The sequence below is a fragment of the Homo sapiens genome, chromosome 11 (assembly GCF_000001405.40).
Source record: "Homo sapiens chromosome 11, GRCh38.p14 Primary Assembly".
In the NCBI taxonomy this organism is placed as follows: domain Eukaryota; kingdom Metazoa; phylum Chordata; class Mammalia; order Primates; family Hominidae; genus Homo; species Homo sapiens.
In genome coordinates, this window is record NC_000011.10 from 7,896,130 (window position 1) to 7,912,284 (window position 16,155).

Genomic DNA, 16,155 nt, shown 5'->3' on the forward strand with positions numbered 1-16,155 from the left:
TATTTCTGCACTGTATTATTTGGGCTACATTGTGCTGTTGTCCTTATTGCACAAGCTTTTGGTGAGTTAGTTTGAATAATGTGTCTATATGTAATTTGAGTTGGGAAATAGGTGGAAACAGCCCAGTGAAGAAATGTCAAGTAATGCCTTCACTTAATTAATTCTGACCTCTTTCAGATGCCCCTTTTCCCAAGAAGATATAAAAGTATAGTAATAGGCATTAGGGCTGGGCATGGTGGCTCATACCTATAATACTAGCACTTTAGGAAGCCAAGGTGGGAGGACTGCTTGAGCCCAGGAGTTCAAGACCAACTTGGGCAACATAGAGAGACTCTGTCTCTACAAAAAATTAAAAAATCAACTGGGTGTGGTGATGCATGCCTGTAGTTCCAGCTATGCAGGAGGAGGATTGCTTGAGCCTGGGAGGTCAAGGCTGCAGTGAGCTGGGATGGTGCCACTGCACTCCAGCCTGGGCAACAGGGTCAGACTCTGTCTCAAAAAAAAAAGAAAAAGAAAATAGATACTGGGAGCATGGCCAGTTGTAACTATGCAAGGGAAAGGACACGCCTGTTAGCTGTTAGCAGTGAGCAAATCAAGGGACTTCAGAAACCCAAAAGGCTCCTTATGTGAAGAAGTTGGCTGCAGAATTTAACCCCAGCCTTCACATGTCACAGGCTAAATTAGTTTGCTATGGCTGTCATAGCAAAATATCACAGACTGGTGGCTTAAACAGAAATTTATTTCTCATAGTTCTGGATGCTAGAAGCCCAAGATTAAAGTATCAATAGATTTTGTTTCTCCTGAGGCCTTTTTCATTGGCTTTGTTGACCTAAAGGAAGAAACTGAGGCAAAGTAAATATAAGCAGAGAGTTTATTTGGGGCCAAGTTTGAGGACTGTAACCCAGAAAACACAGATTCAAGTTGCCTTGTATATGTGTTCTGGCTAACAGCATTCAAATGTGGAGTTTTTTGTTGGTTTGCTTCTTGTTTGTTTTTGTGGAAACGAGGTCTCCCTATGTTACCCAGTCTCATCTCAAACTCTTGGCCTGAAGGGATCCTCCCACTTTGGCCTCCCAAAGTGCTGGGATTACAGGCATGAGCCACCATGCTTGACTATACATGGGTTTTTAAAGGAAAGAAGAAGGGGCAGTTCCTAAGTTGTTTACTAAAAATTTGTGTTAAAATACTATAAGCTACTAATTGACTATACATTGTTCTTTGCATCACAAATTCCAGAAACATGAAGATAATGGGTCGGGGTCACATTGTTCAACTTGTGGTGGCATTATCAATCACTCCTCTGGGGTTATTTCATTGATGAGCATATAACCCTGCCTTAATTTTTTTTCCCTCAAGGTAGAATTTATTAATAAGTTATGGTACATTCATAAAATGGAATACTACAAAGCAATGAAAATTAAACTACAGCTACCTACATCCATATGGATGAATTTCAAAAACAATGCTAAACTAAAAAACAAGCCAAGGAAGAGCATATGCAGAATAAATGCCTTTATATAAAGATTAAAAACAGGCAAAACTAAGCACTCTATTATTTAGGGACATGTTACTAGGTGGTAAAAACAATAAAGAAAACTAAGGGAGTTATTAACATAAGTTCTGGATAGTAATTTCTTCTGGAAATGAATGATTGGCATGCAATCCAGCAAGAATATATCCAGAGATTCTGGGGTATGTAAAGTTCAAACACTTGGTCCATTAGTAGGTACATGAATATTAATTATTGCTCCTTAAGTTATACATACATGTTTTCATATACTTTTTTGTATGTATGCTATATTTTCAAAATAAAAATAAAGACGTGACCTACAGAGTGTAATCGTAGGCACAGGGAAGGGTGGGGGGCTTTGATAGAGATGTTAGGTCAGTGGCAATGAAAATCACACCAATGTATAATCTATGGTCAAGTTATTAATCCACAAAGTATGGATTTAATTAGTTAAACTCCCAAATGACAGTCTTTCCCTTCTTAACAAGTTCTTGGGAGCCACCTTGTTAATCCTCCATTCTGGTTACATTTCATTAGGATAAGCATTTGAGACATCTTTGCTGGCTTTTTACCACATGAGACATTCAAACAAAGTATAGGTTTTTTATTATATTCTTTGGAAATAATTATGACAGACAATAAGTTTCACATACCATTAATAAATTATGTGGTCCTGGGCCAGGTGTGGTGGCTCACGCCTGTAATCCCAGCACTTTGGGAGGCCGAGGCAGGTGGATCATGAGGTCAGGAGATCGAGACCATCCTGGCTAACACGGTGAAACCCTGTCTCTACTGAAAATACAAAAAAATTAGCTGGGCATGGTGGTGGGCACCTGTAGTCCCAGGTACTGGGGAGGCTGAGGCAGGAGAATGGCATGAACCCAGGAGGCAGAGCTTGCAGTGAGCCAAGATTGCACCACTGCACTCCAGCCTGGGCAACAGAGCGAGACTCCATCTCAAAAAAAAAAAAAAAAAAAAAAATGTGGCCCTGAAGAATTTACTTGAGTGACCCCATTTCCTCATCTGCAATTAATAGCAGTGTGGCAAAGACATTTATTGCTATTGATGATAACCTTGCCTTTAAATGATTAATTCCTGACATGGGTGTGAGGGGCATGACTGAAGACTCACTCATGTCTGTCTGGGCCTGATAAACTTTGCATACATCCCATTCTTCAAACTGCTATGAGCTACTTTTCTCGGCTAGCAGATGGCCATCTTCTCACTGTGTCCTTACGTGGCCGTCCTTCAGTCTGTGTAATGTCTGCATTCTAATCTCCTCTTCTTATGAGGATACCAGATTTTTTGGATTAAGGCCAGCCCTAGTGACCTTATTTTATCTTAATTACCACTTTAAAGGTGCTAGCTCTAAATATAGTCACATTCTGAAAGTCAGGACTTCAACATATGAATGTCAGGGGACACAGTTCAGCCCATAATGCAGAACATGACTAAAAGTGAGACTTGACTGTCACTCATGTTTGAAATGCTTGTTCCCTGGTGCCACAAAGAAATAGCACTTGAACATACATTTAATTTTCTCAGCAAGGCCATTTTTATTCTCTACAGAAAGGGTACATTCACCAGCAGTTTTGCCACAAGAGTACACCGAACAAAGGAGACAGGGTTATTTATAACCTGACGCATCCACCCTACTGCTGTGTCTGGTTTCCATTGGCTGGAATGGGACCTCACTGTAACCCACATGGACCTAGGGGGACTGAACAAAGGGGGCAAATGTGGGAATAAAACACAAGAGATGAAAGAGTATATTTGGAAGAAGGGGTCAGAGGGCACCTTGCCTCTAGTGGACAAGGGCCCTGAGCTTTACACAGCCCTCCGTATTTATTAGGCAATAGAGATAGCAAGAAGGAGGGGAGTGGTTGTTGGCTGGCATTTTATTCACAGCAGGCTGGCAAGACTGCATTCTTAGAACAATAGGAGCTAGATCTCTCAATAGATAACTTCAAGGAGCCTGGCACCATGGAGTGAGGCCCTCAGCAAACGTTTTGGTAGCAGGGCAGTGTGAGTTTGGCCACATCCTGCATTCATGATAAACAGTTTGCCGTTTGATCATATAGCCTCCAGCAGAATACTAAGTTGGTCATGTCCCACAGGCTTTCGGCTCCCTGCATATCCCACTTTTTGTTTATGTATTAATTGAAAGAATGTAAGGCCAGACTGGGTAGCTCTCATTCTCTGATTGGTGGTCCATCCAATTTTACAGAAAACATAGCATTAGAACAGTGTTGTGACTCTGGCCGGCATTCTGTCTGTCTTTACACTCAGGCTCAGCTGTCTCATGGTTCGTACCAGAAGGACCGGGCTCATGGTTGGCCACCCTGGGTTCCTCCAGTCTCCCATTCCATGGTCACACATGTCTTGAGGGCACCCACAGGGTTTGTCCATCTGTAAAAACACAAGTATATCCTCTTCCCCACGTCAGTAAATCCACCGAACCTTTACATTGTCCTTCTTCCGGGGATTTCCATAACACTTTTGGATAAACTTTCCTCTTTTCCTTTAACATTTGCCAATGTCTTTCTACTGGAGTCTTACCATCCATACTAGGAGTCAAAAAATTTAAAGTAGAGGCCGGGCGCGGTGGCTCACGCCTGTAATCCCAGCACTTTGGGAGGCCAAGGCGGGCAGATCACAAGGTCAGGAGATCAAGACCATCCTGGCAAACACGGTGAAACCCCATCTCTACTAAAAATACAAAAATATTAGTCAGGCGTGGTGGCGGGCACCTGTAGTCCCAGCTACTCAGGTGGCTGAGACAGGAGAATGGCATGGACCCAGGGGGCAGAGCTTGCAGTGAGCAGAGATCGTGCCACTGCACTCCAGCCTGGATGACAGAGCAAGACCCCATCTAAAAAAAAAAAAAAACTTAAAGTAACTAAGGCTAAAGGTAGTTTCGATTGAGGTGGTAGTTGGCCTCCTATACCCCCTTTTTGTTTTTTCAACATGCATTGTAATGTTTGATGGGCCCATTCTATAATGACTTGTCCTCTAGCATCATAAGGAATTCCTGTTTTATGGGTTATAGCCCAAAGCTGTAAGAAATTTTGAAAAGCATGACTAGTATAAGCGGTTCCATTATCAGTTTTTAATTGTTTAAGTATCCCCATATGAGCAAATGATGACAATGTCGCCATACATGACCAGCTGTCTCACCTGCTTGGCATGTAGCATGCAGCATCTATAGTCACATGAACATAGCTAAGCTTACCAAAGGTAACTATTGTGTAACATCCATTTGCCAAACTTCATTTGGAGCCAAACCTCATGAGTTACAGCCTTCTACAGGTGTGGCTCCAGGGACATGCTGACAAGTAGGACAGGCTTGTATTATAGCCCTAGCTTGGCTGCAAGATAAATGGAACACGCAAGTAAGGGTGGAAGTATTTTGATGCAGAAGCGCATGAGATGCTTGAGCTTGCTGAAACACAGAACAAATCAATTTATATCTACTTTATCATTCCCTAGGGATAATGGTCCTGGAAGTTGTGTATGAGAACAAATATCAGAAATATGAAAAGGATCTGCATGAGAACGAGTAACTCGCTGAAGTCTTTTTTTGTTTTGTTTTGTTTTGTTTTTCACATTAGATGTTGGTAGAAATTTTTATTTTTTTAACTTTTAGGTTCGGTGAACATATGTAGGTTTGTTATATAAATAAATTGCATGTCACAGAAGTTTGGTGTACAGATTATTTTGCCACCCACATAATAAGCATAGAAACTGATAGGTAATTTTTGGATCCTCATCCTCTTCCCTCCCTCTATCCTCAAGCACGCCCCAGTGTCTGCTGTTCCTTTGTGTCCATGTGTACTCAATGTTTGGCTCCCACTTATATGTGTGAACATGATGTCTTAAAAATAAATTAAACAGTTCTGGGTCTAGTGTACTTTTAATTGTAGCAGTTTCTATGTGACTGGTTACATTTACAACATAAGCTGAATCACAGACAATGTTGATAGGATCTGAAGCTGCGAGCTGTAAAACCTGAATGACTGCAATTAGCTCTGAGCCTTGAGCTGAAGCCCCAGATGTCATTATTATTTGAGTATGTTTACGTCCATAGATAGCAGCATGACCTCTGGAAGAGCCATCAGTAAAGTAAGTCTGTCCACCTGCAATAGGCTTGTGATGAGTAATCACAGAAAGAATGAAAGAATGGATTTTATAAAACTGTAAAATTTTGTCTGAGGGGTAGTGATTATCTATAGCACCCATGAAATCTGCAAAAGCAATTTGCCAGGCAGTTGACATTTCCCAAGCTGTGGCTTGTTGCTGGGAGTCTAAAGGAACAATAATTTTGTCAGGGTCATATCCCATAAGCATTTTTGACCTATGCCTGCCCATAGTCACAATTTGTGTAATTAAAGAAAGATAAACTTGCAAGGTTTTGACTGTTTGATTAGGTAGAAAGAGCCATTCTATTACTGTTGCAGACTTGTCTATGAACTGGCCCAATAGTCCTGTTGGAGAGTGGGGGGTAGGAGGAATAAACAAAAGCAAAGGTTTTTGCAGTTGTAGCTGTGAGGCATGTCTCTGCTGTAACATTTTCTCTACAAGCCGTAATTCGGCTTCTGCCTCTTTAGTTAGTTGCCATGGGGAATTTAAAGTAGAATCTCCTTGCAGGGTTTGGTAAAGATGTGTAAGTTGATAGGTAGCAATACCTAACATTGGCTGTAGCCAATTAATATCTCCTAATAATTGTAGAAAATCATTTAAAGTCTGTAACCTGTCTTTACAGAGAACTACTTTCTGAGGCCGTACACTTCTCTCCATAACAATAATTCCTAAGTATTGGTATGGGGAAGTTGTTTGTACCTTTTTCAGAGCTATTTTGAGATTCCATTTAGTCAAAGCTTGCTTCGTTTCTCTGAATAACTGCTGTAGGATTTGATCTATAGGAGGGGCCAAAAGAATATCATCCATAAAATGAATGATGTAAGCAGTAGGAAACATATTCCGAGACTCCTTTAATGCCTGTCCTACAAAATGTTGACATAGCATGACTTGGGGGTAAAACTCTCCATTGATAACAAGAAACAGGTTCTCTTTGGTTAATAGAAGGCACAGAGAAGGCGAATCAAGGCTTATCCTTCTCATGTAAGAATATAGTAAAGAAACAATCCTTAAGATCTATTAATACAAGAGGCCAGACTCTTGGAATAGCCACTGAAGATGGTATACCTTTTTGTAAGGCATCCATCCATTTTATATGTGTATTAATAGCTCTTAAATCTTGTAGCAGTCACCATCTTCTGGACTTTTTTAGAATAACAAACACTGGAGAATTCCAGGAGCTAACTGACTCCTCTATGTGTCCAGCATCCCACTGATCTTTTACTGGCTGTTGAAGTTGTGTCGGCTTCTCCTGAGATAGGGGCCATTGATCCACCCACATGGGTTTGTCACTGAGCCATTCTAATGGTAAGGCAGTGGGCAGAGGAGAAATATCAATGACCTCCATCAGAAATCCTGACGTCCTAGCCCTTAGCTATCTGTTTTTCCAGTTACTGCTATTGGGTTAGGATTTCCCTGAAGAAATTTTCCTAAAGGTTTTCCCTGCTGATATCCCATGTTCTTTAACATTTTAAGTTCTGGGTTATCAAAAGTTTCATTTGTAAGTCTCATATCCCATGCTGTAAGTCTCAACCCCATAATTTGATGGCTATACTTGCAACATGAGGCTGAAAAGTACATGACTGTCCATCCACACCAAGACAAGATAAAATTTCAGCATACTGTTGAACACTTTGAGCTGTTCCTACTCCCATTAGGGACATAGAAGTTAATTGCAAGGGCCAGGATGGGGGGCCAATTGTCTTTACATATTACTGAAACATCAGCTCCCATATCCATAAGCCCATAAAATGTCTGTCCTTTAATTTGTACTACACAGGTGGCTCTATTAGAGGCTATGGGTTGGGATAGATAGATTTCCCAAGTAGTTGTGCTCCCAAACCCTTTATTTCCTCATTTCTCCTTTCATGGAGAAGGGTGTAATTTGCAGGGAATAAGCAATAATTGAGCAATATATTCTCCTGGTTCAAAAACCCAAAGATCTTGTGACATTAAAACTACTTGAATTTCTCCTTCATAATCAGAGCCAGTCACTACAGTAATGCCTTGCAAGTTAAGGCAGCTTTTGGCTAAAATTAGTCTCATATATCCTGCTGGTAAAGGTCCCCAAATGCCAGTGGGAACTTTCATAGGTTTGTCTCCACCAACTAAAGTGATTCTTTCTCTGGCGGGTAGATCTAATCCTGCACTTCCTGGTGTTCCTGGGGTGAGGGGATCAATGTGCCTCTGGGAACTGACCTCTGAAATGGGGTTGAGGTCTGGACTGGGAATGCCCTTATTGTTTGTGGGGCCTGGGTCCAGGCCCCCATCTCGTTTCCCAGCAGGGGGGTGCCATTCTGATGAAATTTTGAGTGGCACTGATTAGCCCAGTGATTTCCTTTCATACAGTGAGGACAGAATCCTGGTGTTTATTCTGCTGGGTGGGGCACTGCATTGTAAGGTCCTTTCTGTCCTGAGATCTGGCAGCATTCCTTTTTAAAATGTCCAGTTTTTCCACATTTATAATATTTTCCCGTTTTGGGGTTTGACCCTTGGCTCCTTTTAGATTTGTCAACTGATAAATTAGCTATTGCTTGTGCTAACATTGCAGAGTGATGAAGCTCAGTTCCTACATCTTGACAAGCTCTGAGAAAATTTCCCAAGTTTTTTGTACACCTCACCAGTGCCAGTGCACATTTACAATCCGTGTTTGCATCCTCAAAAGCTAGTGTTAAGGTTAGCATTTCTGCAGCCGCAGTATGAGAAATCTGACACTTCACTGCCTCTTGTAATCATGCAAGAAATTGCACATAGGGTTCCTGCAACCCTTGTATGATACATAAAAAGGATTGTACTGGGACTCCTTCAGGAATAGTGGCCCAGGTGCATTTAGTGGCCTGTGCACACTGCTGATAAGCAACATCTGGGAGTCCCATTTGAGGTTCCAGGTCTGAATAAGGGCCATTACCTAATAGCATATCCTCTGTAATGTCTCCATTTCCAGCAGCACAGTTCTGTCTAGCCTGGTCTGCACACATTTCTTGCCAATTTAAATTCCATGTCAGATATGCAGTAGCCGACAAGCAAATTCACGCCAAGTGTTTCACATCAAATGGTAAAAGACGCATAGCACCAAACACAGATTCTAGCAATCCTAAGGTGAATGGGTTCTGTACGCCATTGTTTACCACACTCGCTTTTAATTCCTTTAACAAGTTAAAATCTAGTGGAGTGTGTTCATGAATAACCTGCTGTGCATTGTTAGGATTAGGCCTTATGGAAATAGGAAAAGCGTGAGGTCCTAAGGGCTCTCCAGCTATTGCAGCAGAGCATAAAATTCTTTGTATTGGAGTCTCTATTTCTGCCACCAAAGGAGGCGGTACAAATGTTTCTGCAACTGGAGGAGGCAGTATAGGCCAACTTTTATCCTCCCTCTCCTGTTTTTTATTTTCAGTTGGAGCTGTGGGTGGGACAACAGATTCTTTTAGATTTTTAGATTCAGCCTGCTGTCCCGCAGAATAATGAGATAATAGCAGAAGTACAGTACAAACTAAACTCCAAGTGGAGAAAACAGAAGAATCAACTTCAAGACCTTTTTGATGAGCCTGTTTTAATCCTTCTCCTGCTCTATCCCAGTTTTCCACATCAAGAGTGCCTGCCTGTGGAAACCATGAGTTATGCATAATAACTTTGTGTGGCTTCTGCAGGAGGTTAGTGTCTGAGAATTAACCTGAGCTCCAGACTGTCTCAACAGAACTTTAAGCAACTGCACATAATGTTTTTCTTCAACAGACAAGTTATTCCCCCTGCTACCCTGATTCAGAAAGCTTCCCATTCCCAGCACTTCTATAAAGCACTGCTCCCAGTACCTCTTTAGAGCACTGACCTTATATATGCTGCCGGCAGACTCATCCTGGGGTCCCCGTTTGCCTTGTCAATTTCAGCTTCTCTGCTCCAGCAGATCTTTTTTGTTCACATCGTCGAAGTCCCGTGTTCAGACGCCACTTGTTGGCATCCTTGGCGTCCCTGTTCTGAGTCACCACTTGTTGAGAACCCAATTGTGTCACTGTTTGGGGCACCACTATGTAACCTGCATGGACCTAGGGGGACTGAACAAAGGGGGCAAACACGGGAATAAAAGACAAGAGGCAAAAGAGTATATTTGGAAGAAGGGGTCGGAGGGCACCTTGTCTCTAGTGGACAAGGGCCCTGAGCTTTACACTGCCCTCCATATTTATTAGGCAATAGAGATAGTGAGAAGGTGGGGAGTGGTTGTTGGCCAGCAGCTTGATTCGCAGCAGGCTTGCAAGACTGCATTCTTAGGTGCTAGACTTCTCAATAGATAACTTCAAGGAGCCCAGCGCCAGGGAGTGAGGCCCTCAACAAACCTTTTGGTGGCAGGGCAGTGTGAGTTTGCCCACATCCTGCATTCATGATAAACAGTTTGCTGTTTGATCCTATAGCCTCCAGCGAAATGCTGAGTTGGTCACTTCCCAGGGGCCTTCAGCTCCCTGCACCTCACATTCTGTATTTGTCCTGATTAGCCAGCAACTTAGAACTTTTTAAAAGAGGCAAAGGCAGAGGAGAACAAAGGAGGAAGTAACTTGTGGAATGCTGAGAAAGGTAAAAACACCTCCAAATAAGGAAGAGGAACAGACTATGACTTAATACTTGCTTGGACCAGTGTAAGCATGCCAGGGCAAATATTTAGGCTAAATTGTGGGAGCTAAGAACACAAAGTACATTGATTTCTTTATTATAGCTAGCAGATATCTAAGAATGTTAGCACAGGTCTTTGAATAAATTTTGTTTCTGAGAGAAGTTACTATTTATTCCTAATTAGACGGGGAGGAAAGTCTCTTTGAAGAGGAACCTCTATTTTATTTTTACACTCAGAAGCCCGGGCAGCTCTGCCGGGAGTGCAGGGAGGCAGCTCTCCTGGGGGTGCAGGTAGGCAGCTCTGCTGGGGGTGCGGGGAGGCAGCCAGGCTTTTGTTGCACTTCCATCTACTGGCAGCACACACAGAAAGGAAATACTCCCAGTGGCTAGATTCCACCCATCATATCATTGGACTGAGTGAAAACTTTCAGAACTCTAATTTAAAAAATGAATGCATTCATGAATATTACTAACCTAACATCCAGCTGAATAATAATTAAATACATGGGGCTAGCCTGACAGAGGGTGGAAATGCTTTCTTTAACTTTTCTCTTTGAAACATTGCTGATTATTTTATGTTTTGTTTTCCAGAGTCAAGAAAATGTCTCTTTTTAGCTAATTATAGCTTACAGCAACTGGGTAACCTTTTGTGAGCAAAATTAAAACATCTGCATTTCTCCCTACCTGATTTCTCTAAAATTTGGAAACTATTCATGAGTATTTGTATTTTGTGGCAATATAGTTATTTGCATAAGATCAATAAGAATCTGTTTTCTTTTGTAACAGAACACATTGGATACACCGGTTATTTTACCAAGGCTTTGGCTGGAATGTTACATTTTTGAATGTGACCAAACTGCTTTGAGGAATTGAGGCTGACTTTATAAAGCCAATAGACATGGGAAAGACTGGCCTCATGCCTTGCCCACACGGTTCTCTTACAAGGTTCCTCAGCTTGCGGTAAGTAAAGACTGTCATTTTCTGATGCACCCAGGAACCACAAGATATTTTGGGTCATTGAGAAGATAGGAATTCACTCAATTTTTACATATGTTACAAGCAGTCCCACAGTGAATCCCTGGCTTGGCTTACTAGTCTTTAGAGGTTTTAAAAGTGTAATCTGAGATTTCTTATTAAAAATTCTGCAAAGTCAATGGAAAAGAGCCTATATGGCCAATCATTCTTCTTGTTGCACATTTTGCAAATAATCAGGCCAAGTATAATACTAAAACTTATTTAGCCAATAAATTTGTCCTACTAACATTTATATTTGGTAGGAATGGGGAACTGGGGAGAGAAAAAAATTGTTTTAGAAGGAAACTATACCATCCTTCTTATAAGATTCTAGCCCTGACCATTGTTTTTTAGTTGTTTTTTAGTTTTTACTATTTGTCTACAATTTGGACTGAATTCTGAATAATGTCCCAGCTCTAACAATCCTCCAAAGAAGAAATTGGATTTAATTTCCTTCATGATATTTTTAGTTGACTCCCCAGTAGAATAGGTTTTGTTGTTGTTGTTCTGATATACAAATTCTTTTTTTGATTATAATTCCTATATGCATTACATATATCTCTTGTTTTACTTCTTCCACAAAGACTAAACTCATGATATTCTGAAGACTAACAATGATTCAACAAGCAACAGCAACTACATACTTGACTGAGGTGCCATTTTTGCCACCTGTGATGCCATCTCAATTTGGCTTTTGACAGTCTTAAAATTCCTCATTGTAACATTTCCTCACCTCTCCTTCCCATGTGAGACAGCACCATCATGAGCCTTCTCAAACTGAAGGAGGAAGGATATTGATCACTCTAACCTAAGCAGAAATTGATCATTAATGTTTCCATGGAAAGATTTTTGATCAACAGGTGGGAAATGAGAAAAAAAATTGCTCAGAGCCATCTAAGTTATGTGAAGCATACAAAATTTGTCAGGCCCAGAGAGACATGAGTATGGTTATGGGACCTCAATCACACCTCTCACACCCATACCCAGGGCCAACTGTTTAAAGACATTTTGTTCCTGACTAGCTGCTTTGCCCATTATCTTCATGTTCCTGGAGTTTGTGATACAAAGAACAGTGTATAACCAATCAATAGCTTATGTTATTTTAATGTAAATTCTTGGTAAACAACTTGGGAACTGCCTCTTTGTTTCCTTTAAAACCCACTTGTAACTGCTGCTCATAGGGGTGTATATTCAGGTTAACTTGCATCTACGCTCTTGCGTTGCAGTGTTCAAGCTTAGTCCAAATGAACTCTCTACTTACATTGTTTGCCTCGATTTTTTTTCTTCTTTCCGTTGACATATCAATGCAAGGGACCGGAGCAAATATTCCTAGACTGAAACAGATTAAATGCAAGAAAGAGAAGAAAACTTGAAAATATGCATTATCATTGTAGAGAGACTCAATGATTTTTAAAAGAGCATATTCTCAAAAAAAAAGAGATCAATTTTAAAACAATATAGGGGAAATCTTAAAATGGTTTTAAAAATAACTCTGTGGAGAAATGGAGTAACAAAATAGATAACACTGAATACCAAATGATGAGTTAGAAATTCACAGAATGAATTTGATTGAAATTCACGTAAAATTAATGAGAAGTAAAAATTATCATGAAAAAGATAGGAAACATGGAGAATTGATCTGATAGCTCCAATACTCATAGGAGTTTAGATTAAAAAGCAGAAGTGGGGTGGAAGCTATACCCCAAAATAAAAAAGAGCAGAAATAAAAGCAAATCTCATTTTTGCTACACTGGAACTAGAAAACAGTGAAATAATGTTTAGAGTTTCTTTCTTCTTCTTCTTTTTTTTTTTTGACAAAGTCTCCCTCTTGTCCCCTAGGCTGTAGTGCAATGGTGCGATCTCAGCTCACTGCAACCTCTGTGTCCTGGGTTCAAGTGATTCTCCTGCCTTGGCCCCCTGAGTAGCTGGGATTACAGGTGCCTGCCACCACACCCAGCTAATTTTTTTATTTTTAGTAGAGACGGTGTTTCACCATGTTGGCCAGGCTGGTCTAGAACTCCTGAACTCGGGTGATCCACCCACCTCGGCCTCCCAAAGTGCTGGGATTACAGGAGTGAGCCACCGATCCCAGCCTGTTTAGAGTTTCTTAAAGCATAACTATTGAAACCCAGGAATTGTATAGCCAACCAAACCTGTGGCATATAGAAAAATTATTTTAAAATAAAAGCTTTAGGCAAAATAAATTTAATAGAATTTATTTTAGCAAAGAACAATTCATGAATCAAGTATTGGGGGTCAGGAAGTGTTGCCCCAAAGACTGGCACTTTGATATGCTGAGTGGCCTAGAAGCTGCCTCAGAATCAAGGTCCCTCCAACCTTGTCTTACCCCCAGACACACACCTGCATTGCAGGAAGGGGCTGTCTCTGGGATTTTCTTATCTGTCCCGGAAAGCTTCTTTCCAAAAACAATGCAATTGCCTTTCTTCTCCTTCCTGAAATCTCATTACAGATCACAAAAAAAGGAGACAGGAATGCAACCTCACCTGGAAGGACTTTTTCATAAGAAAATAACAATCTCTCAGGTTCATTCAAATTCCAAAAAGAATCATTTACAAGTTAAGTTCTGTCCATTTGCTTCCCCTAATAATCATTTGCTACCCCTCAAAAGAATTGTCTACATTCCCCATCTCCCTCCCCTCCTATGAAAAGGGTATATAAGTTTCTGTGTCCCATTGGGTTATTGGGTAATCATTCTCCTGCAGTTCCCCCAGGCTATACACGTTAAAATAACTTTTGCATGCCTTTTCTCCTATTGATCTGCCTTGTGAGTTGATTTTCAGCAAACCTTCAGAGAGGGCTACTGGTTGCCCATTTTTATGGTTATTTCTTGATTATATGCTAAGCAAGGGATGGATTATTCATGAGTTTTCTGGGAAAGGAGTGGACAATTCCTGGAACTACGGGTTCATCCCCTTTTTAGACCAAATAGTGTAATTTCCTGACATTGCCATGACGTTTGTAAACTTTCATGGCACTAGTGGGAGTGTCTTTCAGCATGCTAATGAATTATAATTAGCATATAATGAGCTGTGAGGATGCCCAGAAGTCACACTCCTTGCCATCTTGGTTTTGGTGAGTTTTGACCAGCTTCTTTACTGTAACCTATTTTATCTGCCAGGTCTTTATGACCTGTATCTCCTGCCAACCTCTTATCTCATGCTGTGACTAAGAATGCCTTAACCTCCTGGGAATGCAGCTCAGTAAGTTCCATCCTTATTTTACCCAACCTCTATACAAGATGGAGTCACTCTGGTTTAAATGCCTCTGACAACTCCATTTTGGTTTGATCTATTAGGGCACAATGCAGGAGCTCAGTCTAAATCAATAGCCTCCTGTAAATTTTATTTAACAAAGGCAAATGGAAAACTGTTTTAGACATGCAAGGATGCAGAATGTATAACAATTATACAACATTTGAAAAAAATAACTGTTGGAGAAACTGAAACCAAATAAAAGTTCTTCTGAAAAAAACAGCTGAAGAAAAGGGAACATGTAGGATACAAAAGTGATAAGCCATTTTTAAATCAGAAAATCTTATAGTTCAATTTTAAAATAATTTGTCATGTATAACAACATATAATGTAATAATAAATGAAAGGCTATGAAAAGAGGTATAATAGAAAAAATAACAACAGTATTATACTAAAATATCTGATTATTTTCACAAACCTGGGAATGATAGCTGGGGAAAACAAGAAAATGCTTGCTTAAAGCCTTACCAATTAAAGGAATTACATAAAGGTTCTGCTCTCCAACCCAGACAAACCACAAAATAGCAAATGTTGAAACTCAACATCTGTTAAGTGATTATCATATGCCAGGCATAGCTCTAAGTACTTTACATTTATTATTAAATAACTCCTTTAATAAGTCTCAAATATTTAAACTATCCTGTAGGACAGGGCTACTGCAAGTGTAATTCTGGATCAGCAAGGACTAAGAGCTTGTTAGAAATGCAAGTTTTTGGGCCCCACCCCAGACCAACTGAATCCAAATCTCTGGGGAGGTGTCCATGAATCTGTTTTAATCAGCTCTCCAGGTGATGCTTTTGCACCCTAAAATTTGAGAAGCACACATCTCCTCAGTTAACGTGCTAGGATGAACTGGTATATTTCAAATGCATTAAAAGTTTACCAGGAAATAATGATCTTCTTAGACTTCTGAGAGCCCAGGCAACACCTGAAGCAACCAGAGTCCCAGAACATTGTCACTGTCCTCTCTGTGGGCTTCTCAGAAACTGGCTGAAACAGACGTGTGTCTGATGGGACCCTCTGTTCCCCACAGACAGTGAGCACTGTAAGTGATGTCTGGCATCACCACTCTGCCGGAAGCCACTGAGTGAAGGCTAGGAGATGCTTTAAACAATGTGCTGCTGCCTTGGTGGCTAAGAGGTTCCAGGTGCCCAGAGGAGTGCAGCATACACGCAATAATGTAGCTCATTCAGAGAATCAGAGTGGGCAGTTATCAGTTAGGGGCCTCTTGTGGGCACAGCTCTAGAAGGTGGCCCCAAATCTCTGCCTTTACATAGTCTTATGCTCATTTCCGTCTTAACTACCTGGTAGCAACTGTTCTTGCTTTGCATGTGCGTGCTGCAGAATAGCACTTCCTTATGATGAAAGAAAAACTTAAGTACATTTCAATTTTAGAGAGTTTATCGGAGCATTCAGAGATTCAAGAATTGGGGCAGCACCAGACCACAAGGGGCTATCACTCCATCAAGAAAGGCAAGAGGGGAAACTTTCATGCGCGTCCGTGTGAAGAGACCACCAAACAGGGTTTGTGTGAGCAACATGGCTGTTTATTTCACCTGGGTGCAGGCGGGCTGAGTCCGAAAAGAGAGTCAACAAAGGGAGATAAGGGTGGGGCCGTTTTAT

The 16,155-nt window shown here is 40.9% G+C and overlaps 2 long non-coding RNA genes across 2 annotated transcripts in view, besides 4 other annotated features; one reads left to right on the forward strand and one right to left on the reverse strand.

Moving 5' to 3' along the window:
- LOC283299 (uncharacterized) overlaps positions 1–9,826 on the reverse strand; it is a 55,205-nt gene extending 45,379 nt beyond the window's left edge. The window contains exon 1 of the long non-coding RNA NR_036678.1: positions 9,474–9,826. This is a non-coding gene — a long non-coding RNA (uncharacterized LOC283299). The remainder of the gene's footprint in view (positions 1–9,473) is intronic.
- Positions 9,370–10,569: an enhancer, noted in NCBI's record as "P300/CBP strongly-dependent group 1 enhancer chr11:7927046-7928245 (GRCh37/hg19 assembly coordinates)". NCBI's record gives its function as "activates an origin of replication core promoter dependent on BRD2, BRD4, P300/CBP, MED14 and CDK7 cofactors, with strong dependence on P300/CBP, by STARR-seq in HCT116 cells {active_cell/tissue: HCT116}" and the evidence as "EXISTENCE:reporter gene assay evidence [ECO:0000049][PMID:35650434]".
- Positions 9,371–9,914: an enhancer, noted in NCBI's record as "NANOG-H3K27ac hESC enhancer chr11:7927047-7927590 (GRCh37/hg19 assembly coordinates)". NCBI's record gives its function as "activates a minimal SCP1, AML or CMV promoter by ChIP-STARR-seq in naive H9 embryonic stem cells {active_cell/tissue: H9 hESC(naive)}" and the evidence as "EXISTENCE:reporter gene assay evidence [ECO:0000049][PMID:30033119]".
- Positions 9,915–10,458: an enhancer, noted in NCBI's record as "NANOG-H3K27ac-H3K4me1 hESC enhancer chr11:7927591-7928134 (GRCh37/hg19 assembly coordinates)". NCBI's record gives its function as "activates a minimal SCP1, AML or CMV promoter by ChIP-STARR-seq in naive H9 embryonic stem cells {active_cell/tissue: H9 hESC(naive)}" and the evidence as "EXISTENCE:reporter gene assay evidence [ECO:0000049][PMID:30033119]".
- Positions 10,193–16,030, forward strand: LOC107984307 (uncharacterized). The gene is made up of 3 exons (XR_001748116.2): positions 10,193–10,537; positions 11,033–11,206; positions 15,928–16,030. It is a non-coding gene; the product is annotated as an uncharacterized LOC107984307 (long non-coding RNA).
- Positions 11,547–12,090: an enhancer, noted in NCBI's record as "H3K27ac hESC enhancer chr11:7929223-7929766 (GRCh37/hg19 assembly coordinates)". NCBI's record gives its function as "activates a minimal SCP1, AML or CMV promoter by ChIP-STARR-seq in naive H9 embryonic stem cells {active_cell/tissue: H9 hESC(naive)}" and the evidence as "EXISTENCE:reporter gene assay evidence [ECO:0000049][PMID:30033119]".